The sequence below is a fragment of the Homo sapiens genome, chromosome 11, assembly GCF_000001405.40.
Source record: "Homo sapiens chromosome 11, GRCh38.p14 Primary Assembly".
Taxonomy (NCBI): domain Eukaryota; kingdom Metazoa; phylum Chordata; class Mammalia; order Primates; family Hominidae; genus Homo; species Homo sapiens.
In genome coordinates this window covers 105,488,422-105,514,616 of record NC_000011.10, presented here as the reverse complement: position 1 = coordinate 105,514,616, position 26,195 = coordinate 105,488,422, and the positions used below count along the sequence as shown (strand labels likewise).

Genomic DNA, 26,195 nt, shown 5'->3' with positions numbered 1-26,195 from the left:
CCATATTATTCTTCAGTGATGTATCTGGGTCTTTGTCGGCTCAATTTTTTTACAATTTCCTCCATTCCTTCCTCAATCCATTGTAGTCTTTTTTTTTTCCTCTGTCATTGATTTAAATTATTAGAATGTTGTTGATGATGTCCTAATATTAAACGCAATGGAAAATTTCCAATTCCTATATTACTTTGACTCCTCTGATACTTGACACACTATGAGACATTCTCCCGTGAATTCTCACTTTCTTTGGCCGATGTGACATCCAACCTTTGGTGCCCCATCCACCTGAAAGATCACTCCATCTTTTTCTTTACTGACAGTTCTCTGTCATCCTTCTATGATGTGGCATTCTTCAAAGATTCATCTTCAGGTCTTTGGAAATGTTACGCACTGTCATCCTTATCCTGGGTCTAACCATTATCTTTCAGCTTATATATCCAGTCTAAATCAGTTTCTGAGCTCCAGACTCATTTCACTGTACTTCTCATTTTTACTTAGCCAACATGAACTTCAAGCTTGATGAGTTCAAATGGAAAACGATATTCTCAACACTCTTCTCTCTTCCTTTTTTCCTTCTATGTTTTATATCTCAGTTAATACTGATGTTTAGAAGGAGCTCAGACCTCTACATTAAATAAAAATAGTGTGTAATTTTGCTCTTAACATATAGTATGACTAAGATTAGTTTTATTCATCATATTTTAAAGCCAATGGAAGTAGAGTCAAATCAATATAGTTTTTGCTGAAAAATTGTGGCAAATTCTAGAGTATTAGTTTTTTATTTGGGACAATATATTTAAAACTTAAGAATTATTGGCTGGGCATGGTGGCTCACACCTGTAATCCCAGCACTTTGGGAGGGCCAAGGTGGGCGGATCATGGGTCAGGAGTTCAAGACCAGCCTGTCCAACATGGTGAAACCCAGTCTCTACTAAAATAAAAAAAATTAGTCTCTACCAAAAATGTAAAAATTAGCCAGGTGTGGCACCCATAATCCCAGCTTCTCTGGAAGCTGAGGTGGGAGAATCACTAGAAGCTGGGAGGCAGATGTTGCAGTGAGCCGAGATCGGGCCATTGGACTCCAGCCTGGGCAACAGAGTGAGACTCCATCCTAAAAAAAAAAAAAATGTCAGTGATATCAACATGAGAATGGAAACTTTTTTAAAAAATTTGTGTTTTAGCACCTAATGCATTGCCAATTACAATGCCAGTAAAGAAATTAAAAATATCATTAAGATGTATTTATAGTAGTTTACATGGTATAAAATAACTTCAATCATGTGTGTTTTCTTAGACTTTAAACTATTTAACATATTTATACCTAAGAAATAAAAAGGACCACATAACATAATAAAAAAAGAAGAGAAAAGTTCAGCTTTCACGGTATTAGTGTGGCAAAGCAGACTTTCATGAATTCAATCAGAAAGGTATGTTAGTCTTGGCTATAGCTTATGACACTGAAATTCATGGTTATGGAGGTGATGGATGAGGCTATTTGTCAATAAAATAATTTCATAAAATTAATGAGAATAAGAAGATAATTTTGATTAGAAATGGGCAAAGACAAGGAAAAGGAGGTTCACTAAAGTCTTTGAAAGACAGAAAAATATTATTTTAAAACTTCCTGGAGGCCAGGCTCAGTGGCTCACGCCTGTAATCCCAGCACTTTGAGAGGCTGAGGCAGGCAGATCACCTGAGGTCAGCAGTTCGAGACCAGCCTGGCCAACATGGTGAAACCCCATCTCCACAAAAATACAGAAAAAATTAGTCGAGCATGGTCATATTTGCATCTAATCCCAGCTACTCAGGAGGCGGAGGCAGGAGAATTGCTTGAACCCAGGAGGTGGAGGTTGAAGTGAGCTGAGATCGTGCCACACATTTCTAAATGATGTTTATGCTGGGCTTTTCCCAATACCCATAGTTCTATTGGTCTCCATGAAATATTTCATATGAGTAGCAAAGTGTTATAGAAAATAAAGGCATATATTTTTAATTCTTATTTTTTATTAAGATGAATTTTTGATAATTAATATTACTTTATTCATATGCTTTTGCTGTTGTGTTATGAACTTTTTTCTTCCTTTAAAAAATAATTCATGATTCACTTTTAAACTACTTTAAAAGTAATTCATGCTTCATAAAGATATTTTGGAAAATAAAAAGAAATGGTAACTCACCCAAATTATTGGGTGTTTCGGTAAATTTCATTTTAGTCTTTCTCTCTGCACACACACACACACACACACACTAACACACACACGACACATATTTACATCTACATCTATATAGATCAATAATGATTGACATATTATAAAAAAAATTTTTTTCTAAACATATATCATGTCCTGTATTTTTCACTTGATATTATAATACATTCTCTACATTTCATAAAGACATTCTGTACATTATATATAGAGAGAATGAAATGTCTAATATTCCTCTGAATGTAGATTCCTAACATTCCACTAAAGATTGAAAATCTAAATTATTTTCAGTTTTTCATAATCAGAGACTGTTCTCACAAATGAAAAATTCTATATCATAGTCTATAGATATTAAGACAACTAATAATATGTGATATTAAATTTTTACTCCTATCATCAATGTATGAGAGTAGCATTTTTGTTTTGCTGTTAGTACCATTTTAGTGTCTCCCCAAAAGTATTTGCTAATGAAAATGTTCAAAATAAGATATTAATATTTCAAATTTATAATGCTGATATTACCAAAGAGAACACATACTTTCTACATTTTCAAATTTATTTATGAAGGTATTCCTGTTGTTCATTTACATATTGGAATCTTTGCATTTCTCTTAGTAGCTTGTACACTCTCTCTCTTCCTTCTTTTATAAAATATTAATCCTTTGAGCCAATGAATTGAACCCTTAAAAATTCTTTATGTGGTAATACTTTTTGATTTTCTCCAGTTACTGCAAATATATTCTTAATTGTCTTTACTCGTTTTAGCATAATTTGTATAATAAATAGCAAATAATTTTAGTTGTTTAAAACAGTGAAATATGTTAATCTAGTTATTTTTTAAAAATATTTTCCATTGCTTGGAAACTTAGACTTTACCTTCTTCACTAATTTGATCATTTTATATATATATATATATAAAAAATTACATCTGTTACATTCATCATTCATTACATCTGTTTATGGTTTTATTTTCATGTTTACATATATGTATATTTTTGGTCTTATTTTCATATATTTTTATATATGAGAAATATAGACTAGTAAATATATATAAATTGATGAACTATATATATAAATATATAAATACATATGTAAATACATATACATTTATGAATTGATTTTCATGTATTTAACTTTTTAATTCATCTGAGATTCCTTTTTGCCTTTAGAGTAAGAAATACTTTGAATTCTTTTTCATTTTTTGTCTAAGTAATTGTCTCAACCTTTTGGTGCTGCATTTTAAATTTTATTTTATATATACTAGAATGAATTTTGTAAATTGTTCTTGAGATGAGCTATGATGAAAAATTGCCTGGGTTAAAATCTCTCCTTAATTTTCTGTTTGGAGACTAGTTTTTTAATAAGCACTTTGTCTCAGCTTCCTCATCCGTAAGAAGGGGAGAACAGTAATAATAATGATAGCACCTATGGCAAATAGTTCTCTGAAGGATGGAGTTAATTTATATTTAACAATTATCCTATGACCAGGCCGTTTTTATTATTTTACTTTGTTTTGATGAAATGTTTTTCTTGTTTTTTTTTTGCTCAATAAAATATTGTAAGAATTTTTATGGTTGTATAATATCTTCTACAGGATCTATATTTGGTTATAGATAATTCTTTCAGTAAAATTAAAATGTTTAAATTTAATGTTTTTTGTTAAATATTTTAGTTACATAGTGCTAAGCATGTAACAAATGATCAGCAAATATTTATTTAAACAGAATTAACTAAAAATGCAAAAGTTTTAAAGATTTATTGCACACAGTTCACAGTCAGTACAAAGTAGAAAATCAGTCCTGAAAGAGAATACTAGGGAACAGAATCATAGGTAATTACTTGCTTCAACATCATCGCCTATCTACTCTAGTGACACAAGTACTCTTTTTCCTAAGAAATACTATCGCCAACAAGAAAGAGACCCTTACAGACTCATTCTTCCATCTATCTATTCTTCCCTGGGTCTATCCATCTGTCCATCCTTCCCATCCTTCTGTCCATCCATCCATCCATTCGTCCATCCACCTCTTTATCTATACTTCTTTGTAAACCTGCAACCCTGACCCCATCTGATTTAATAGGATTGTGTATTTTGCTCAAGCTGGGTCAAACATGCTTTCTGTTCTGGGACTTAGAATTTGGGCAGAACATTAGCCCTGGCTCTGAAGTGAGGGAAAGACAGAAAGGATTAATCAGTCCTGAAAGCTAATATGTATCAGTCGAGCACAGTAATGACAAAGAAAATAGCTCCCTGGTAATGACCCAACACAATTCTCTGAGCTGTCAAATTAAAGTACTGAAATGCTATCCTAGTTATGGACAGGGGAAAAGCACTCTAAACTTCAGGTAATTTCAATGCATGAAGAAAAGAGTGAGTTGTTTACATTTAATAATAAATTGTTTCATAACAAAACAATTTGGTTTTGTTGTAAAATAAATTTGGTTTATGTAAAATAAATAAAACTGAATATAATTGTGTTTCGATAAAACTAAAACTTCCAAGTTGTCACTTCTTTGCTCTCTTAACCCTCAAATAAATGGTCCAATTATTAATTAACACATAAGAAAGGCTTATAAATAAAAATTGCAATCCTCAATGCAATGCTTAGGAAGATAACTGCCGGTAATCATTGTGGTGTGTATATCTATGGGGAAATTATTCAAATATATTTTTAAAACAATTTAAGGACAACTAATTGTAACAAGGAAGCTTCTAGAACATGTTTAAGACATTTCCTGGATTGTCCTCCTGAAGGTAGACTGCATGACCACTGTACTCAACAAGCTTACAGAGGGGCCAAACGGTGGCCCTTAAGGAAAACTGATGAAACTGATGTGTTTTAGAATATCTACACATGTGGATTCGAAGTCCCTTGTGATGAAGGATAGAGCCAGGGTAGGAAAAGAAGGGTGGGGATATGCAGATCCAGGGCCCAGGGGCTGGTGTGGCTGATTCTCCCTGTCCCAACATGTGGCAGATCATTAAACAGTTATGCTTATCAGGGGAGGAGGTTAGAACATAGTTTGTTTAATGAGTTTTTCAGACGTTTCAGCAATTTGAAGAATTGATTTATAAATTTTACGTATTTTGACATATGGTTTGAGGGCTTTATTTGTATTGTCACAATCTCTGCAAATATTAGGGGTGGGTCTGATGGAATGCAATCAATTTTGTGGGCATATGTATGAATGCAATTTAGTGTAATTTTTTCTGATACAGGATTTCCAACAATGATCTCATAGAATGAAATGAATTTCACACCCAGGACTTGACTTTACTTACATGACTCTAACTATAGACCCCCTTACAAACGTATACTATGCCTTAAAATTAACAGTACTCTGGGGCTGTTATTTTTACAGGTTTAGAATATCAGATAGATTTGCACATTTAGCCTTAGTTTCTTGTTTTAGTATCTATCATAGATTTTAAAAAATCATCTCAAAATCACTTTTCCTTAATTAATAGAAAAATAAAATGTTCCCTCTCAAGAGGAAGAACTACCCTTTTGAAATACATTTTTCTGGAGCTTATAGGGTCAGAACTGTGGCTCTTTATTATATATCTCAAATAATATCTCAGCTATGTCAGCCTGGGTGCTTTAGAAAAAGAAGTAATTGCTTATCCTTTCAGATAACAATGGCCAACACTGAAACATAATCTTGCAGTTATTCATGCTTTAGTTAGACTTACTAAAGAACATTCCATCAAAAAAGTTTTAATATATGCATAATTATTTGTTTCTAAAACATACCATCTTTCCCCAAGCACAAACTGGCAAGACTTCCCCTAGCATCCCTATAGAACCAATTCTTCAAATACCATATCCCATGATTTAGATATAAAGAAAATGTAAAAACAAAAACAAAGGTTTATTGAAACATATACTTTTGGGTTAAACATATACTTCTCATCTTCATGAAAAGCCATCTCTTTTAAACTAACCTAGCTGATAAAATTCTTAAGGGGAAGAGATATCCTGAAATGATACAAATCCGTTTGCAGAGCCCAGATGTACGTGGAACAAGGTATTTGGGTGCTCACTTTATTTTTAGATTTTTCATACTTTTTTTTTAACCCAGTCCAAGCCCTAAGAGGTACACTTCTGCTCCCTTCTCACCTCCTTGCAAGAAAATAATTAAGGTTACTATATTCCTTGATAGATATAGGAGTTTGAATAATTTCTAGTAGCTTGGAAATAAAGTAATGGTTTCCTTTTAGGCATCCCAGTACCTACATTTATAATTGTTCATGCAATCTCATTACTTTGGGATCAAAACTTATTAAGCAGCACTCTGTTAACTGAAACAACAATAGACAACCCTCTTCGGATTCCTTTTTGATGTCAGACTAATGATTGACTGCCAAGATGATTTATGGCTTCCTTTTTAAAATAAAAGATAAGATAAATGACAGAAATACTTTCTGGCAATAAACCAAAGTCCTCCTGACTGAAGAAATAGTTATTATTTTTCTTTCTCAGAAAAAATAAAAACGTCAAATATTTAAATGTGGTATTTTATGTTGGGGATATTCAGAATAATGTATATTTCTAGGTAAATTCAAAAATCAATGAATATTGAGTGTCTTACCTCAGACTTTACTAAAATTTTGGTTGGATTAAAAGTTCATGACTGGGTGCAGTGGCTTACACCTATAATCCCAGTACTTTGGGAGGCCAAGTTGAGAAGATCACCTGAGGTCAGGAGTTCCAGACCAGTTTGACCAACATGGTGAAATCCCGTCTCCACAAAAATACAAAAAAATAGCCAGGCGTGGTGGTGCATGCCTGTAATCCCAGCTACACAGGAGGCTGAGGCAGGAGAATTGCTTGAATCCTGGAGGTGGAAGTTTCAGTGAGCCAAGATTGTGGCACTGCACTCCATCCAGGGCAACAAAGCGAGACTCCACAGCAAAAAAAAAAAAAAAAAAAAAAGTTCAATACAGAAAAAAACAATTGAAAAATAAAGAAAATATAAATTAATATTTATTAAACCCTTTGATACAGGAAGGTTTTCTAGTTTAAAATTAGTCAAAGTGATCAGCAACATATCAATAAAGTAACTACGTAAAACACAATTTTACATAACAGAAAAAAAAATTGAACCGAAACTTTGAGTTAGTAAAATACATTTGGGAAAACAGCATTATTTATGCATCAGAAATGCAAATAACCTAAATTTCTGGATTATTCAATAAATAGAAGGTCCTTTAAGCACCACCTCAATGTTGCACCTGGAAACTTTGTTGTGGTATTTACAAAGCTAGTAGAGTAATATTAAATGGCAAAAGCAAAATGAAATTTCTAAAGGATAATTATAGCTATAAAGTACAGTTGGCCCCTTGTATTTGTGGGTTGCACAACAATGGATTCCACATCCATGGATTCAACCAACAGTGAATTGAAAATATTTGGGAAAAAATAAATGGATGGTTGTTCGTACTGAACATATGCAGACTATTTTTTCCCCCATCATTTTCCCCTAAACAGTACAGTATAACAACTATTTACATATCACATTGTGTTAGGTATTATAAGTAACCTGAAGATGATTTAACTTATACGGGAGAATGTGTGTGGTTTATATACAAATACAATACCATTTTATAGAAGGGATCTAAGTATCCACGGATTTTGGTATCTGCAGGGGATTCTGCAACCAAAACCTGCCTCCACCCCCTTGGATACTGAAAGACAACTGTTTTATGATTTTTTTTTTTTAAAAGAAAACAATTTACACCTACTTTTATGCACCCAAGGTTATAAGAATCAGTGATTTTCTTTTCCGTATTTTTCTATATGTTCTCAAATCTGAGTATTTATTATTTTTGTAATTGAAAATGAACTATTTTAAGAGAAGAGAGAAAACCAGTAAGAGCTCTAGTTAATATGATGGAGTGAAGGTATTTGTATTTTCACTCCAAAAAAACCTATTAAAATTATTGTGGAGGTTTTATAAATGTGTACAAATTATTTATTACTCCTCCCAATTGAGACATGGAGATCAATGTCTCCTCTCCTGAATCTGGGCTGATGTTAGTGATTCTCTTGTAACTAATGGAATGCACCAGGAGTCACGCTTAGTAATTCCTAGGCTAGGTCATAAAATCACAATGCAGATGCCTTTCTATGATCCACCTCACCTTCACATAACCCAGGTTTTCAATCGTTGAGTTGCTTCCAGTCACTGAGTCTTCCAGCTTAGCTCCCAGATATTTTAGAGCAGAGAAAAGCTAACCTTGCTGTCTTGTATGAATTTCAATCAAGGGACACAGAAAAAAATTACTTCTCTAAGATAATTTTGAGTTTTTTTTCATGCAACAATAGCAAAATGAAATAGAAAATCATTGGTATCTATGAGTCAGGTACTGCCACGGCAAAACTTCAAAAGTATGGCATTGGCTTTGGAACAAGGCGTGAGTAGAATTTGGAAGTGCCTTGAGGAAGGGCCTTGAGAATGCCCATGCAAATTCCCTGTGTTTTGGTTTCCCCTCAACAAATGCTAATTAATATCTGAAAGCAAAGGCATCCAATCAGTCCTACTATGAGCATTTTTTCTAAGAATGCATCTAATAGAACTAAGACATTCGTTGTCTAGACATCAACCCCTGAATAACAAGAGCAAGGAGAATTACATTTGCAGTAAATTATGTCATTGTTTCTTTCTCAGATTTTAAACATTTTTGCTAAATTGTGAATTATGGAGACATTTTATAGATGAAAGTTTCAGAAAGATGAGCAAAAACATATCCATAATATATCAACTATTATTATGAAAATTGGTAAATGAACAGAAAGACACTCTGTCGCTTTCTTCTACTTTCTTCTAGAAAGAGTTGACATCACACAGGTCTTATATCAGTAAGTTGGTTATTTGTCACCTCCCATTTATATTTTGACATTCATAGTATGAGATGCCTTCTCACCTGGTTTTGTTTTAAACTTTGAGGGATTCTGCTTTTGTTTTCTATTTTCTCTATCTGTATGTGAGGATTCACAGAAATTAAAAACCCACACTCAACTATGGAACCACTGCCATCTTCTCTGTAAGTAAATATTTATTTTATTGAACCATGTATCAGGCAGAAAAGTGTAAAATAATAACTGAGCATACTCAGATAACCACGAACTGACCAAAAGAAATCATATTGCAAATCATTCAGAAACATCCACCATCCCTCCCAGTCATTTTGCCGCCTTATGTGACCAGTGTTCTGACTTCTTTCACTACAGTGTATTTTTCACTTGTTTTTGTTCTATAGATAAGTGAAGTAATTTGGTATGTACTCTTTTGTGTTTTGTTTCTTAGTTTTTTAAATATGTATCTATGATTTTGTAAAGAGCAGTAATTTTTCAGTTTTCTTTGTTGTATGCTACTTCATTGTATGAGTATAGCAAAATATAATTAGTCTATTCTACATTGAATACATTAAATAACATTTTGGTTGTTTCCAATTTTTAACTATTACAAATAGTGCTTATATAAATATTCTTGTGCATGTCAAACATATATATGTATATATATATTTATTTTAGCTGCAGCTTTAAATTAGAATTATTGAGTCACAGGCTATGTGTACAATTACCTTTAGTTACAACCTCCATAACTTTATAAATTTATTCTGCAAATATTATTGTCTGCTTCATTGCTTGCCTTTGTACTCTTTTAATGACATTTTTTAATGAACAGAAATTCTGAATTTAAATGAAGTCTTTTATTTAACTGTTATTCTGTTAGTGGCTTTTATATTCATTTAAGACATTTTTACATTATAAGTCAAGAAGATGTTTTCTTACGTCATCTTCTGGAAACATTTTTAGATATACTATTCATGTGGATTTGGTTTTTGAGTGTAGTGTGAGGTAGAGATCAAGATTCATTTATTTTTGTCAGGTTTGAGATATTCAAATAACTCATTATACTATTCTCTCTTCTATTGTTAGTCTTTGAATAATTTATGATCGAATGTTTAAGATATGTGATTAACAATGCTATGTAGAGAGAGGAAAGAAAAAATTGAATGTGAAAAAAATAAACACATTAATTCAGTGTTATCTATGATATCTCCCCACTTCTGAAACGTTGAATCAGTTCATCAAATTCTGTTAGGTAATATTTCCAGGTCTATCGGGCCCACTTTTTGTTACTTCAGTTGCCCATGTTTGCTTATTTAATCTTTTATCTGTATGATTCACTGCTTTTCAATCTTCTAAATATAATGATTGATTCATAAAATAATAAAACAATATTTCTTTCTAGCTACTGAATTATAACAGCTAGACACTAATATGCATTCAGGATTCTTGTTATGGTTCCAATCTATCTAACAAGAACTATTTGCCAAGGCTTTGTTGCTGGAATAAACATGTACTTATTGCTACTTTCCTTAAATAACTTCTTGTAAGTGTTAAAAGCCTATCTTAGGTACAAGCTACAGTCCACTTGGTTTAGTTAGAGTCACTAACTAGTTATGAATAACAGTGGAACCCACAGTTTGATGAGGAAAGTGCAGGGCAATTTGATTTACAATTATACAAATTTTGCAAATAATATCTACTATTAAACAATTTAATACCAAGAAAACATCAATACTCTTAACAAAACACAACAATAAATGGTGAGCAGCCTAAATAAAATAAATATTTCGTATATATCCACATTATTCAAGATTAACTGATCTACTATTTTCATCCCTTAAACACAGTTGTCACTTCCCTGACTAAATATTAATCCATCATCTGAATCCAATGGAGTGAGGCTGCCCCAGAGACCCCAGAATCTTGTGCTGCAAGCACAAGACTTCAACGTATGAGAGCTGCTGTGGGTGAGAGCTCACAGGTGTGATTGATGCCATTATAAAAGGTCAAGGCCAGTCCCCTCTTGCTCTCTCCTGCTCTTTCACCTTCTGTCATGAGGTGATGTAGCAAAAAGGCCCTAACCAGACACTGGACCCTTGATGTTGTACTTCCCAGTTTCCAGAACTGTCAGCTAATACATTGTTATTCTTTATAAGTTACCCAGTCTCAGCTATTCTTTCATAGTAGCACAGAAGGGACTAAGGCACTAGGGAGCCTTTCTTTTTAGAATATTGGTAAAATTAAGGCATGCTTAATGATAATTAGAATAAGTAGAAGAACAGTGAGGAAAAGACAGCTTTTGGAGAGTCTTAAGGTTATCAATGCAAAAGTAAAACTGGGAGAGAAAAAGATGCTTGATATAGGGAGAAAATGTGCTTTCTAAGAAATTGGATGCAAGGATGCTAGGTGGGGAGGAATATAATGCAGTTCTAACTTGTTTATAGGTGATTTTGTTTATAATTAGAACTACTTGAAACTGATAGAATTTCAGCAAACTTCTTTCCATAGATGAAATACATTAGTACTTGTTGAAGGGTCAGGATGATCTGATTTTATATCCAAGTTCTACCATTTATAGGCAGCAATTTTTTTATTCAACAAATATTTGCTAAACACCTGCTATAGGGTACTAGAGATACATATTGTACAAGACAGACAATGCTCCTGCCTTCTCAGGGTTTATTATTATAAGCCCTGAAATGCACAACATATAGCATCAAAGTATTAACATATGTGATACTTCAGGTAGTGAAAGCACTACGAAAAATTGAAAAATGCAATCAAAGTCAGTACCAGTGTTTGCGTATAATATAATCATGGGAAACCTTCCTGAAGAATGACATTTTAGCACACACCTATACGAAGTACAAGGACAAGCCATACCAAAAATTTTGGAGAAGAGCAGTCCACACAAAGAAGCCAGTACATGTAAATACTCAAAATCAGAATAGTCTGTCATGTGTGTAGAAGAACTGAAGAAGTATGCAGGCGACAGTAGGTCATGCCACAATGTTGATTGCTAAGTTGATGTGAAACCAATGGGTTGTTTTAAATGATGTGTTCTGATTCATACTTGAGGTAGGTCACTCTATTTGGTGTGCAGAGAATAGACTTTAGTAAGCAAATTTGAAATCTGAGAAAAAAGGTAATATTCTTTCACAGTAGTCAAGGCAAGAGGTGATTACAGCTTGTTCTAAAAAAAGCTATTGAGATAATGAGAAATGATCACACTTGGGACATATTCTGAAGGCAGAGGTGGACATACTTTCAGATGGATTGGGTGTAGAACACAAGCAAAGGATAAAAATTAAGGAAAGTCCTTTGATTCTGTGCAAATTTCTGAACAATAGTACCACCTTTTAAAAAGACTGGGAAAAGAGCGAAACTGGATGAATAACAAAGAAGGGCGTCTGAAGTTCCCTTTTGCACTTGTTCAGTTCAAGGTACTTTGGGGGCTGTCAAGTAGAAATGTTGAGTATGATTATTGACGTTACATATGAGACTGAATCTGAGAGAACAGACTGAAGTTACAAATACAAATTTGGGAGTCATTAGCCATATTAAGCCATGGGGTATGATGAACTAGAACATGAAATGAATATAGATGTAGAAAATGTAAAAGGGGAAAAAGAATTTATTTAACTTCTGTGGGTCTCATATTTTATCAATAAAATGGGAAATACAGATATGTTGGAAATATTAAATGTAGTATAAACTACATTGAACAGTTTGGCACATAAGAGGTCAACAGATGTGAAATATCATCAAAGCCAATCTAATTTGATTTTGAAATGACATAAGCTTATAGTAGAAAAATATGACTTAAAATTATTGCTCTCTCTCTATATATATGGATTTAAAAAGCATTTCACAAAATCCAACACTCAACGCATAATAAAAACTTTAGCAAACTTGAAACAGATGGAAACTTCTGCAATTTGGTAAAGAACATTGACAAAATCCTACAAATAGCATCATACTTTATGATGAGATAATGGACACTTTCTCAATAAAATTATCAATAAGACAAGGATGTCCCCTCTCATGCCATTATGTTTAACATCATATTAAAAGTCCTAGATAGTCAATAATACAAAAAGGAAAATAAGAAGTACACAATTTAAAGTATACACATTGTAAGGAAGAAATACAGCTCTTTAGTTGTAGATGATATGACTGTCTATGTAAATGTCTATGTAAATGTCTATGTCTATGTAAAAAAAAAAAAATCCCAAAGAATTGACAGAAAAAATCTAGAAACTGGTGACTATAGCAAAGTAGCAGGCCACAAAGTTAACAACACATCAAAGTCAACTGATTTCCTATATATCAGCACCAAACAATTGAAATTTGAAATTAAAAAAATTAAATAGCACCAAAGATGATATACTAATGTATAAATTGAGCAAAATATGAACAGATTATTTACAAAAAAGTATAGAACTCTGATGAAAGAAATTAAAGAAGATTGAAATAAATGGAGAGAGATTCTGTGTTCATGGATTGGAAGAATCCCTATCATTAAAATCGCAATTCGTCTTAACTTGATCTATAGTTTCAGTGCAACTTTTATGAAAACCCCAGCAAACCATTTTATAGGTATCAAAATACTGATTCTAAATTTATATAGGAAGGCAAAGTCCTAGAATAGCCAATAAAATACTGAAGATAAACAAAGTAGAATGTGTCGCTTATCTGTTTTCAAGAATCACTGTCAAGTTACAATAATAAAGACAGTATGATAGTGGAACAGAATGAAGAGCCCCAAAATAGATACATACAAAATAGGTAACTGATTCTTGCCAAAGAAGAAACTACAATTCAATGGATAAAGGACAGTCTTTATATTTTGTTGGTATTGTATCAATAAAAGGGGAAATACAGATATGTTGGAAATATTAAATGTAGTATAAACAATTAATGAAACAATTATTTGTCCATATTAAAAAAATGAACTTACACTCAGACCTTACACATCTCACAAAACTTAACTAAAAATGGAACATGAACCTAACGATAGACCTAAATATAAGATGTTAAACAATAAAACTTCTAGAAGAAAACATAGTGGAAAACCCATTTGGCCTTGTGTTTGGTGACAAGTTTGTACAAAGCCAAAAGCACAATCCATGAGAAAAACTGATAAGGTGGACTTTATTGAAATGAAAAACTTCTGTGAGGAAAACTGTTAAAAGAATAAAAATATAAGCTACACACTGGGAGAAAATATTTGCAAAGCACATATCTGATATAGATTTTATATTGAAAAGATAGAAAAAATTGTTTAAAACTCATCCATAAGAAAACAAAGAACACAAGTAAAAAATGGGGAAAATATTTGAACAGACATCTCACCAAAGAAGACAGAGCAGTGTCAAAAACAAAACCTTACATAAATATACTCAGTATTAATTTGTTATTGGGTAATTGCAAGTTAAAACAACAATGACATACCACTATATGCCCATTAATGTAGATAAAACCCCAAAAATGAACAATACAAGTTGGTGGCAAGGATATGGAGCAACAGGAATTCTCATTCATTGCTGGTGGGAATGCAAAATGGTACAGTCACTTTGAAAACAGATTTCCAGTTTCTTACAAAGCTAAGTATAGTCTTATCATAGACCCCAGCAATCATGTTCCTTGGTATTTGCCCAACTAATTTGAAAATATGTATGTTCACACAAAAACCTGCACATGAATATTTATAGCAGTTTTATTCATAATTGCCAATAGCTGGAAGCAACCAATTTGTCCTCCATAGGTGAAGGGACAAACTGTACAGTGGAATACCCATAAAATATTAGGCTATTAAATGTAATATAAACTGGATAGAACATTTTAGCACATAATAAGAGGTCAATAAATGTGAAATATCATCAAAACCAATATAAGTTAATTTTGAAATAATATAAACTTTATGGTGCAAAAACAGAAAACTTAAAATTATTGCTCAAAATATGTATGGATTGAAAAAGCATTTCACAAAATACAACACTCATGCATGATAAAAACTTCAGCAAACTTGATTTACTGATATCAAAACATGAAAGTCATGAAGGAAAACTTAAAGGCATATTGGTAAGTGAAAAAAGCCAGTCTAAAGACTATATAATGTGTGATTCCTATTTTATCACCTTCTTAAAAAGGCAAAACTATAGAGATAGTGGAAAGATCTGTGGCTGCCAGGAACTTGGGAACTAATTGAGAGAATTAAATAGTTAAAATACAAGAGAATTTTTTTTTACAGTGATCAAACTTCTGTATCGTACTATAATGACAGATGTGACATTATGCATTTGAAAAACCCACTGTGAGGATTAATATTGAGTGTCCACTTGATTGGATTGAAGGATGCACAGTATTGTTCCTGGGTGTGTCTGTGAGGGTGTTGCCAAAGGAGATTAACATTTGAGTCACTGGAATGGGAGAGAGAAACAGACCCTCAATCTGGGTGAGCACCATCTAATCAGCTGTCAGTGCCGCTAGAATAAAGCAGTCAGGAGAAGATGGAAGAGCAGACTTGCTGAGTCTTCCAGCCTTCATCTTTCTCCTGTGCTGGATGCTTCCTTCCCTTGAACATTGGGCTCCCAAGTTCTTCAGCTTTTGGACGCTTAGACTTACACCAGTGGTTTGCCAGGGGCTCTTGGGACTTTGGCCCCTGACTGAAGCTGCACTGTCGGCTTCCCTACTTTTGAGGTTTTGGAACTCGGACTGATCCACCACTAGTTTCTTTGTTCCTCAACTCGAAGATTGCCTATCATGGGACTTTATCTTGTGATCATGTGGCTCCATTCTCATTAAACATCCTTTCATATATACATACACCCTATTAGTTCTGTCCCTCTAAGGACCCTAATACAGATTTTAGTACCAAGACAAGTTACTCTATTAGTTCATTGTTATGCTGCTATAAAGAACTGCCCAACACTGGGTAGTTATAAAGGAAAGAGGTTTAATTGACTCACATCTCCACATGGTTAGGGAGGCCCCCAAAAACTTACAATCATGGCAGAAGGGGAAGCAAATATGTCCTTCATATGGCAGCAGGAAGGAAAAGAATGAGAGCCGAGCAAAAGGGAAAGCCCCTTATAAAACCATCAGGTCTTGAGAACTTACTATCACAAGAATAGCATGGGGGAAACTGCCCCTAGGATTCAGTTACCTCCCCCACAGTCCCTCCCACCACACATGGGGTTTATGGGAACTACAGTTCAAGATCCAATTTTGGTGGGGGCACAGCCAAAACATATACCCACAGAACTTTATAAAAAAAAGAGTAATCCTAAACATATATAAATTTATAAAATTCATTTGAAGGTTAGGGATGCCAGGATGGAATACAGAGTCTACAAAAGAATCTAACTATACTACAAATGTATGAAACAACATTTGTAGTATGTTGGGATGAAAAATTGCTGACCTCAATAACTTTGGAAATATCAGAACTTTTTAAGACTAAAGGCAGAGAAATTATACATAAACATTATACTCTAGTTGATAAACCTATTTTCTATAGGGGTGCAGGTTAAAAATTCTGAGATTGCTATATATGTATACTTGAATTAAACAACTAAGTAAATGGTTGGAAGATGGTGGGAGCTCAATTTTACACTGTTGGGTTGGAAGGTTACACAAAAGCATTACGAAGAGGTTAAATGATCCATATGATACTAGACTGGAGTGGAAGATGTCAGTATGAACCCATGTTTGGTTTAATTTTGATACAAAAGATAAGGAAATTTACATATAGGAATTTATGTGTGTGCGTGTGTGTATTAATGGGTTATTGTGCCCACATACCATCCCGTTTTTTGTTAGCTGAGAGGGCCTAGAAGCAACAACACTCCAATAGCAGTGAGCATACCTAGTGCCAAACCTTTGTTTCCAATATCATTCCCCAGTGAAAGAAACCCAGCTTCTTGGAAAAATGGCTCATTCTATAACTAGGGCTGGAAATATTCAAGATTATTCTGGAGCATGCCAGAGAGTAAGGAAGTGATAATAAAAACAGAAAAACAAAAACAAAAACAAAAACAGAATAATATCCCATATAGAGGAGGGTATGTCAAAGGGACTCAGGAGCCAATGTAAGTCCTCAGCAGCCTAAGCTGGAACATCTTGAGCTGTAATGTAACATAATGAATAAGGTATCATTAGATTATAGTTTGAACTACAAACTAAATATCGAGTTTGTACTTATAAAAATAAATAAACAGAGAAGGAAAGTTAAATCTCGCATGCAAAAAGTTTCCAAATTACTGTGTAGATAGATACTCTGTCCTCAAAAAGATGGAGAATAACTCCTGCTTTTTAAGCGCAGCCTGTGCATGGCATCTTTCTTCCAAAGAGCATGGGGCAGCATTGGTGCGGAAGTAACTTTATAGTGGAGAAACCTGGAAAACACTGTCTCAGTTAGTTGACTTCAGCAAGGTCAACATCAACAGTGGTAAGTCATGTTGGTAGTATGTACTCCTGATATGATGTAATGAAAACAACACTTTACCTCTATTATCTTCCTTTCTGAAACCCATATCCCAGTCTAATTATAAGAGAAATAGCAGATTGAGAGACACAATGGAAGGATATTATACAAAATACTTGTTCAGTACTCCTTAAAACTGTCTAGGTCCTTAAAGACAAGGTAAGTCTGAGGGAAAGCCACAGCCAAGACAACCCCAGGGGGATATGACAACAAAGTATAATGTAGTCTTCTGGAACAGAAAAAGGATTTAGGTAAAAACAAAGGAAATCTGAATAACTTACGGCCTTTAGTTAATACTGTATTAAACTCTTTCATTAATTATAATGACCGTAGCATATGTAAGATGTTATTTATAGGGGAAAGTGGGTGTGGGCATATGAAAGCTCTGCAATTTTTCAGAAATTCAAAAGTGTTCTAAAATTTTTAAAAAGTTTATTTAAAATTATCTATGTACTTTCTGATTATGGCAAATCCTACAATACTAAAAATTAATATAAAACTCAATTACTATTTGCTTTCTGAAGGCTTGTATGAAGTTGCTGATATCCTGTACTCAGAGCCCACTTCACGTTAATGGAAACTAGAATAATTTTTAAAAACAACTTAAATGAAAGAACTGTAAGTTTTGATGTTATAAGTGCTTCTCTCAAGATGTTTTCAAGTCTTCTCTAAGGACAAGTAACAATACACTTCATCTACAAGAGTTTCCAATATTTTTAGTGTAACCAGTAACAGTGACAGCGACATAATGAAAACAATCATCTTGAAAAGAAGAACAGAAATTTGTAAAGAATATGTGTTTTCTTCTATTTAATTTTCCAGATTATTCTCTGAAGGACATACTTAAAACTAAAAGATGTTGGATCTCCAATATGAATTTGTGTAAGTTTGTCTTCTGAACATTTTTATTATCCTCACATAAACAATTTTTATAGCTCATGGAGCCTGACATATGTTAGTTCTCCTTTGCCTAAAAACACCAAGATCTGGAAAAATCAAAAATAGAGCTTTTTTTAAGTTATAGAATTCTATAAATTTCATAAGTAAAGTTTAATATAACTATTAGTATGAAGTGAACAACCACTAATTTTCTATCATAGAGAAGTAGTAAGAATTACTGGAATCTAAGAAAGTCCCAGAGTAAAATAAATGACTTTATTTTCACCCCTAGGAAACAGAGATATCAGATAATAAACTGTTTTTTTTTCTGGAAAATAATTGACAATAAATTTAAAGATAATTTTATTAAAGAAAAGGTAAATAAACTATTTGCAAAACAAGATTCTAGGCAGAATAGCAATAGCAAAATCAGAGAAATAAAAAAAGGCAATAGCAAAATCAGAGAAATAGGAAAACTTAGGCTAAAAAAACACTTGATATTGATCTTAGCGTACCAGTATGAAAATAGGGAGGAGAATTGAAAGACTTTTTTATTCTGGGGTAATGTGTTTTTATTGCCTGTTTAATAATGAATATCCATAAAGTTTGTGATCAAGGATAATTTTTGAAATAATAATATTTTGAAGAAGTATGAGAAAAACTGGAGTGAGAAAAAGATAGTGGGGAAATATTAGAAATATAGACAAGCCGGTTTTTTTTGTTGTTGTTGTTGTTGTTAAAACTTTTCACTATTTTCCTGTTGGTTTAAAGTCCAAAATTTATTCATCCGTCCACCTATCCATACATCAACCCATTCATTCATCCATTCAGTTATTCAACAAATATTTATGTAAGGACAAGTGATATGGAGAAACAGACAAAACAATCAAAAACATGTGGTCAGAGAAATAAGGAAAAAGGCAGGAGATTGACTGTCTTAGAATCCTGAAGCAGAGATAGTCTAAAGAAGGCATTAAACAGAAACCTTTCAGAGTCAGAGGACACTGAGAATAGGACATTGAGAATAGGACTTTCAATTTGGAGATTTTAAAGTCATATAAAGGCAATCTTGTAGAGATCACTGTTGTGAGAATGCTAATTATAAAGCCAAAAAAAAAAAAGTTAAGAGTCAGGAGGCAGCATGAAGATGGAAATAGTGGTACTATAAAACTGAAATAAAGTACGATTTTTCATGAAATGAAACTTTAAGTGGTTATAACAAAATTATCATCACATTTACTGTTTTAAAACAGGTTAATCAATGTCCTCCACTCTATTTTACAATCAGCTCTTTGAGTGGGTGGGTCTAAAATAAGATTCATGCACAAGGTTTGTGTGCAAACCATGTGATCAGAAGTATTGTTATGGGATGAATTGTGTTCCCCCAGATTTATATGTTGAATTCCTAATTCTCAGAACTTCAGAATGTGAGCTTATTTGGAAATAGGATCATTGCAGAGGTATTTCGTTAAGATCAGTTCATACTGGAGTGAGGTGGACCCGTAATCCAGTTGAATTTGTATCCTTATAAAAAGGGGATGTCTGGACACAGACAGATACACAGGAAGAACATCACATAAACAAGAAGACAGAGATTGGGGTAATGTTTCTACAAGTCAAGGATTAACAAAGATTGCCTGCAAACCACAGAAACCAGGAAAGAGGCCTCAAAGAGATTCTCACTCACACCCTCAGGAGGAACCAACCTTGCTGACCTTAATCTCGGACTTCTGGTCTCCCGAATTGTGAGAAAATAAATTTCTGTTGTTTCAGCAATTCAGTGTATGGTACTTTGTTACAGGAGCCCTAACACAACATGAACGACTGAATCTGCAGAAATTTAATTCTGTTTTCGGATCTAAACACTGGAAAATTGAACAAAGGTAGAAGATTCAGAGGCCACAAAGGCAGTGGAACACTTTGAGTAAAGAGCGTGGGCATCGAAATTGAATATTCCTTCTATTTTCTGGAAAAACAAAACAAAACAGGAACTGTAGGTCACACTTGTGTCCGTATGTTGGTAGTTTTAAGAAAAAGGGCTTGGGTAAAGAGTTTCTCTGAGATTTCTGACTTTTCCATTGATTATAACCATTTCCCATAGCTACTTATAAGTCATGGGCTCCTATGCCTGACAAAATGTATTAAAATATTCAAAGTAAAAATAATCTAGATCTAGAGTCAGCCACACTTGGGATTTCGATTTGCTTGGGAATTTTATATCTGCTGAAACCTGCCTGCCTTGACCTGTTTTTTCCTTCCCATGCTAAATTCCTACATTCTCTATCTTTCATTTCACCCACTTAGGCAGAACTGAAATTGCATAAGCTCCATTTCAAGGCCCTAAGGTCAAGACCCCTGGCTGTTCTTGACCTGCAGCAGCCCTTAACCCTTAGCTCCTGCATCTCCAGCCTGACCATCCGCCAGCTGCTCTTGAGCAGCTTTGTTCATCTGCTCTTCATGCATTCAGTATTAAAGTGAGATTTTATATTTATGCTCATATCAAAACACTAGAAATGATTCACTATTTTTTTATTTGGGGTGAAAAATCTTCAAGGCTCCTTCTTTCAGTATACAACTTTATATTATCATGCAGCATAACTGCAGTAGCACAGTTTGTTCGTTGTCTGATGGCTGAGTCCTCAAAGGCATGTATGTTACATGGTTAGTAATCACATTTATTTTTCATAAAAACAGTAGATAAAGGAGCATAGATTTTAATGACTATGTAAACTCATCTTTTATCAGAAACATGGAAGGGATGCGATGCTATTTTAAAGTAGTATACATTTTTTGACATTTTAAGATTTCTTTGTTGTCTTAAGGCTACTTAAATGATTTCTTATTATTTGCAACTTTTGCTAATAAAATGTTACAAAGCTACAGCTTTTCTGTGTCTGAAGTTTTGCACTATTTGCAGGTGCTCTGCCTTAATAGTGAAGCACTACATTTTCTGAAATATTCCATTACGGTTAACATGAAAAACCCTCATTATTTTTGATACACATTTTTTTATATTTTTGGCTGTTGTACCCAAGACAGGTGGTTGGGGGCAGGATCTTTCTCTCAGTGTTTATGCAGCTTTTGTTTTCAAGTAATCTCCCTGTGGCTCTTCTTACACTTCTACCCTCCATGACAATTCAGTTCACATTAATATGTAATGAAATCCCTTTGCTTTCAGTAAACTATAGGTGATTTTGCTTTCTCCTAATTTTGTTTCAGTTGAGGCATATTTCATCGGGATTTCCTTCTCTCTTAAGTACCTTAGCATCTTTTCTTACAGAACAGATTTATCTTTGAATAGTTAATTAGTAATGAAATTTATATTGTAAATGTAGTAGAACATGAATGAGAGAGAAGGGAATATAAGAAGAGTAAGAAAAAAGCAAAGGAGATAAAATGGAATTCTTCTATACCCATTCGGGAAAGAAAACTAGCAAGGGAGGTGGAAGGAATAATGACGTTGGGGGATAACTCTTCCTCCCACTCCTTAGTGTCCCATGGGGAAGGACTTTCTAGGGTGATCCTGACTTCTTCCCTGTTCCCTTTTGGTGCCCAGCCTATTAGATAAAATCATATGTGATAGGTGAATATGAGAAAAGGAATTGATTATTCTTGCCCATTCCCATTGGGTTTTCTTTGCCTCTCTATGTCATAAGTGTTAGAGGCACAGCCTTTTTGGAGAAACCCTAGAATTTTCAGCATAGTCGGTGGCAAGATGGATAAATTTAATTCTGAGTACACCATTAAGAAGCCCACTGTTGCCATAGATCTAACCATGCTTCCCAGTCTGACCTGTTATTTTGATCTCCATTTGTGTGAATCTTGGCCCTCACCCTGTGATTTCTGTATTTGTCAAGAAAATAGGGAAGTTATTTATTGACCTCCTACAATGCCAAAAGTAAACAGTGGAATGTTTTATGGGGAGTAGTTGGGTTCCCTCCAAATTTTCCTTGGTTAGATAGTAGAGCTATCAATGGGGACTGTCCACCTTCCACCCCCATTAAGTGAACGGATCCATTCAGCCTTGTTCAAGAGACATTGATTTCTGTTGCCATGTGTTGTATCAAATAATCTAACTCCTTGACAACAAACAACTAGACTAGGTTAATTTACATTTTGTCAGGTTTGGGAATTTTCCCTGGCATGGGTAGCAGTATCTGTCTTAGGATATCTATAAAAGGACTTCACTACTTTACACCATGCTATTACAGAACAAAAAATAAAGGCAAATACTCTCCTAGGTTTGTAATATCTATTGTTTTCTTGTTACACAACGAAGTTGTCAAAAGATATAATCCTCTAGCAATTCCAAAGATTATATAAAGACATCAGTCTTCATGATTCATAGATTTTTTGGGGAATTATATTAGCAACTAATAAATATTGTTAATAGTATGTGTTAATGGTGCTTTATGATAGAAATATTTCTTTCCAAAATATTGTTTGCTTGTTTTTGTAAAGATACATTGTGAATTTACACTTCTTTCCTCTTTAATGCAATTATACCATATGTCACTTTTTCAACTTTATAAGCTCCTAGAATTCTGGATGTGTTTCCAACAGAGAAATGGTATTTGGCAGTAATCACTGTTGCTGCTGAACAGTGCTAATCTATCTATAGTAGAGATGTTCAGTTTTCATATGTAGTAAAACAGAAACTGAAACTGTAGTGTTAGGAAACATAATTTATAATTTCAAGAGTGAAGGAAAACTCCAAAAGAAAGATAGCTAATAATGAATCCGATCACCAAATACTTGTACAACAATTGATACAGGTCAGTCTTATGCTACCAGCTGGAGACAGACTTATGAACATGATAGAAGAGGATACTACTATTTTTCATTCTAGTGGTGGAATGCAGAAAATAAATACCTAAATTATTTTTTGAAGCATCATCATTTACATATATATACATATACATATACATATACATATATATATATATATAGAGAGAGAGAGAGAGAGAGAGAGAGAGAGAGAGAGAGAGAGAGAGAGAGAGAGAGAGAGAGAGAGAAAGACTAGGCATAGAAATTAACTTGCTTGACCAGGCGCGGTGGCTCCCGCCTGTAATCCCAGCACTTTGGGAGGCCGAGGTGGGCGGATCACGAAGTCAGGAGATCGAGACCAACCTGGCTAACACGGTGAAACCCCGTCTCTACTAAAAATACAAAAAATTAGCCGGGCGTGGTAGCGGGCGCCTGTAGTCCCAGCCACTTGGGAGGCTGAGGCAGGAGAATGGCATGACCCCGGGAAGCGAGCTTGCAGTGAGCCGAGATAGCGCCACTGCAGTCCAGCCTGGGCAAAAGAGTGAGACTCCGTCTCAAAAAAAAAAAAAAAAAAAAAACAAAGAAAGGAAAGAAAGAAAGAAATTAACTTGCTTACTACCGAGTTCTTCAGGATAATTAATTCAAAAGAATGTTTAGTTAGGTCTCAAAATCTCAACTATTTGTCTTCATGTTCAAAACTCAGTGTTTAGATGGTAGCTCTGCCAGAGAGAGAGCAGTGTCTATTAAAATGGACGTGTATTGTCTGACTTTCCTTCTTAAGGTCCTCACCTTCTGTCATCCCATTTACCTTTCTTATCACTGATTTAGTTAGTTACCCAGGACTCTCTTGCCATTCTACTCACTAGACTTTCTGTTCTCTCTTTGATGTCTAATGTTTAACTCTGGTTCTGCACCTCTCTACTGCTGTGGCCATATCTATATCTGTTGCTGATTTAGTGCTGATCTCATGTACCCTTGACTTCTGGCCTGCTGTGTGCACCTAGAAGCTTTTAAATGATAATTACTGTGGAAAAGATTTTGATATAATCAATATGTTACCTTTGTTTCAACCCACTTCTCAGATTCCTCACCCCTTTATTAAGAAAGTAAAAACCTTACTTGTTTGGAGCAACATAATATGAAAGCTATTTAATCGTTTAATGATACTTTATTGATATTGTAGTCTTATGTAAATTTTAGGAAAATTATTCATATATTCGAGCTGCAAGATCCTTCTGCTAATACAAAGCCCTCTTGTCAAACTGAAGTTAGAGTATAAAAGAGTGTATATATTGAATTTTTGTTTGTTTGTTTGTTTGAAGAATGGCTTCAGTGGGAATGGAATCCAATTCACTAAGCATCTATAGACTGTACAAGGTTTACTGTAGAAAATTGAATTTGGGAACTAAATGTTGTTGAATTCATTTGAGTGATTTGCTGCTTTAGCTATACCTCTGCCCCAATTTGGATCATTTAGAGTTTTTATTTCTCCTATTAATTTTTTTCAGTTAAATTCCTCAGCTATTCTTTCCAAAAAGAAATGTTGTCAATGCAATAGCTAGTTGGACTAAAGAGAAAACAGTATGTCTTTTCCAAAAAAAAAAAGGTTGTCACAAAACTTGACATCCTGAAAAATCGAGCCTTTTGTAAGTGCTGCTTATGAGATTTTGTACTTTGGGCCAAAAAGTCAGATGTTAGTAAATGAGCCAGCTTGTCCCCAGTGCCCAAGTCACTGTGAAAGCTCCGTGCAGCCAGCTGGGTTCAGCCAGCCTTGATGAGTGCTGGAGTTTCCCATGGTAACACGGAGCAGCGAATTCAGAACAAAGTGAAAGGTTGGCTTCAGGCTTACAAGACAAATCTCCTCCCTTCATACACTGTCACTGAAGAGGAAAAGTATGAATAGTCTTATTGCTCTTGACCAGCTATATTTATAATTCCACATAAACCAAACCACAAAAAGGCTGCTTAAATTAGATAACTAAATGCATTTTTAAAAAGAATTTAAAATTTGAAAGGAGGAAAAAAAAGCTAAAGGTTATCAAAATCTAAAAAAAGGGTAAGATTAAAGTTCTCCAGTCTCCGTATTAAAAATCTGAAAGGCAAAAGTTAGCACATCTAAATTGAATAAAGAAACATAAAATATATTTTTTCAGACCAAGTATAAACTAGAACTACTTTAACCTTTTCATTGACTTTCTTTTCTATAAGAATGTAAGTTAAATATTTTTTATTTTGGTGAAGAATTCTGGTGAGATAATTGATTAAACAAGTGTTTGTGAACACATGTGTCCATTGAAGTATATCAAATGCGTAATTTGGCACCCCCAAAGTATCCTAAATACCATTCATTTCGTACAATTTATTCTCTGGCAAGATGAAATTCACATAGAAGAACTGTTTTCTTCCTGTTTAAAAAAAAAAAAAAGGAATGTATGCTCTTAGCAGCCAATCTGAGAAGGAGAGAAGTGGTGAGTAGCAGAATGAAATTGGAAATCTTTAGACGTTTCAAAGTGAAGCTAATACAACACAATTCTGAGCTCAGCACATAGACATGCTTGAAGTTTCTGCTTTGTACAACCAGTAATTCTTTAAGAAGAGGCAAGCAACAACAGTCTTGCATCTTTTTCTCAAGTTGTTCACAAAGTGATGACTGTAGCTGTTTGCTTGATAAAACCGAACGATGCCTTTTGATTTCACAGTTTACCTGAAGGCTTGCAGCCAGTAGCTCTTCTTTCTTGGACCCTGCTCTGATGGTAACACAGCACTTTTAAATTTTAAATGTATTGCTCTCTGGTGATGGAGAGATAGCACTACATTATCTTAAGTCTATTTCTAGCCTGACATTCTCCCTTACCTCCACACCACAGGCCACCTCAGGGAAATTCTGCAAAATTAAATTTCATACATTAAAGCTATGTAGATGTAGCATAAATATTTAATAGAAAATAAAGTGACCAAACGTCTAGCAGACTGTACTTTTAAATGTTGTTTCCTAGTTTT

At 34.0% G+C, this 26,195-nt stretch overlaps 1 long non-coding RNA gene across 8 annotated transcripts in view; it reads left to right on the top strand.

Moving 5' to 3' along the window:
* LOC105369468 (uncharacterized) overlaps nucleotides 1-26,195 on the top strand; it is a 383,452-nt gene that overhangs the window by 26,751 nt on the left and 330,506 nt on the right. For 3 of the 8 annotated variants that reach the window (XR_947973.2, XR_001748356.1, XR_001748359.2), the window contains exon 3: nucleotides 18,372-18,431. The exons of 3 other annotated variants lie outside the window; for them this stretch is intronic. This is a non-coding gene — a long non-coding RNA (uncharacterized LOC105369468). Of the gene's footprint in view, nucleotides 1-18,073; nucleotides 18,432-19,963; nucleotides 20,205-26,195 lie in introns of those variants that run through there. 2 more of the 8 variants (XR_001748358.2, XR_007062870.1) reach the window with 2 other exon arrangements.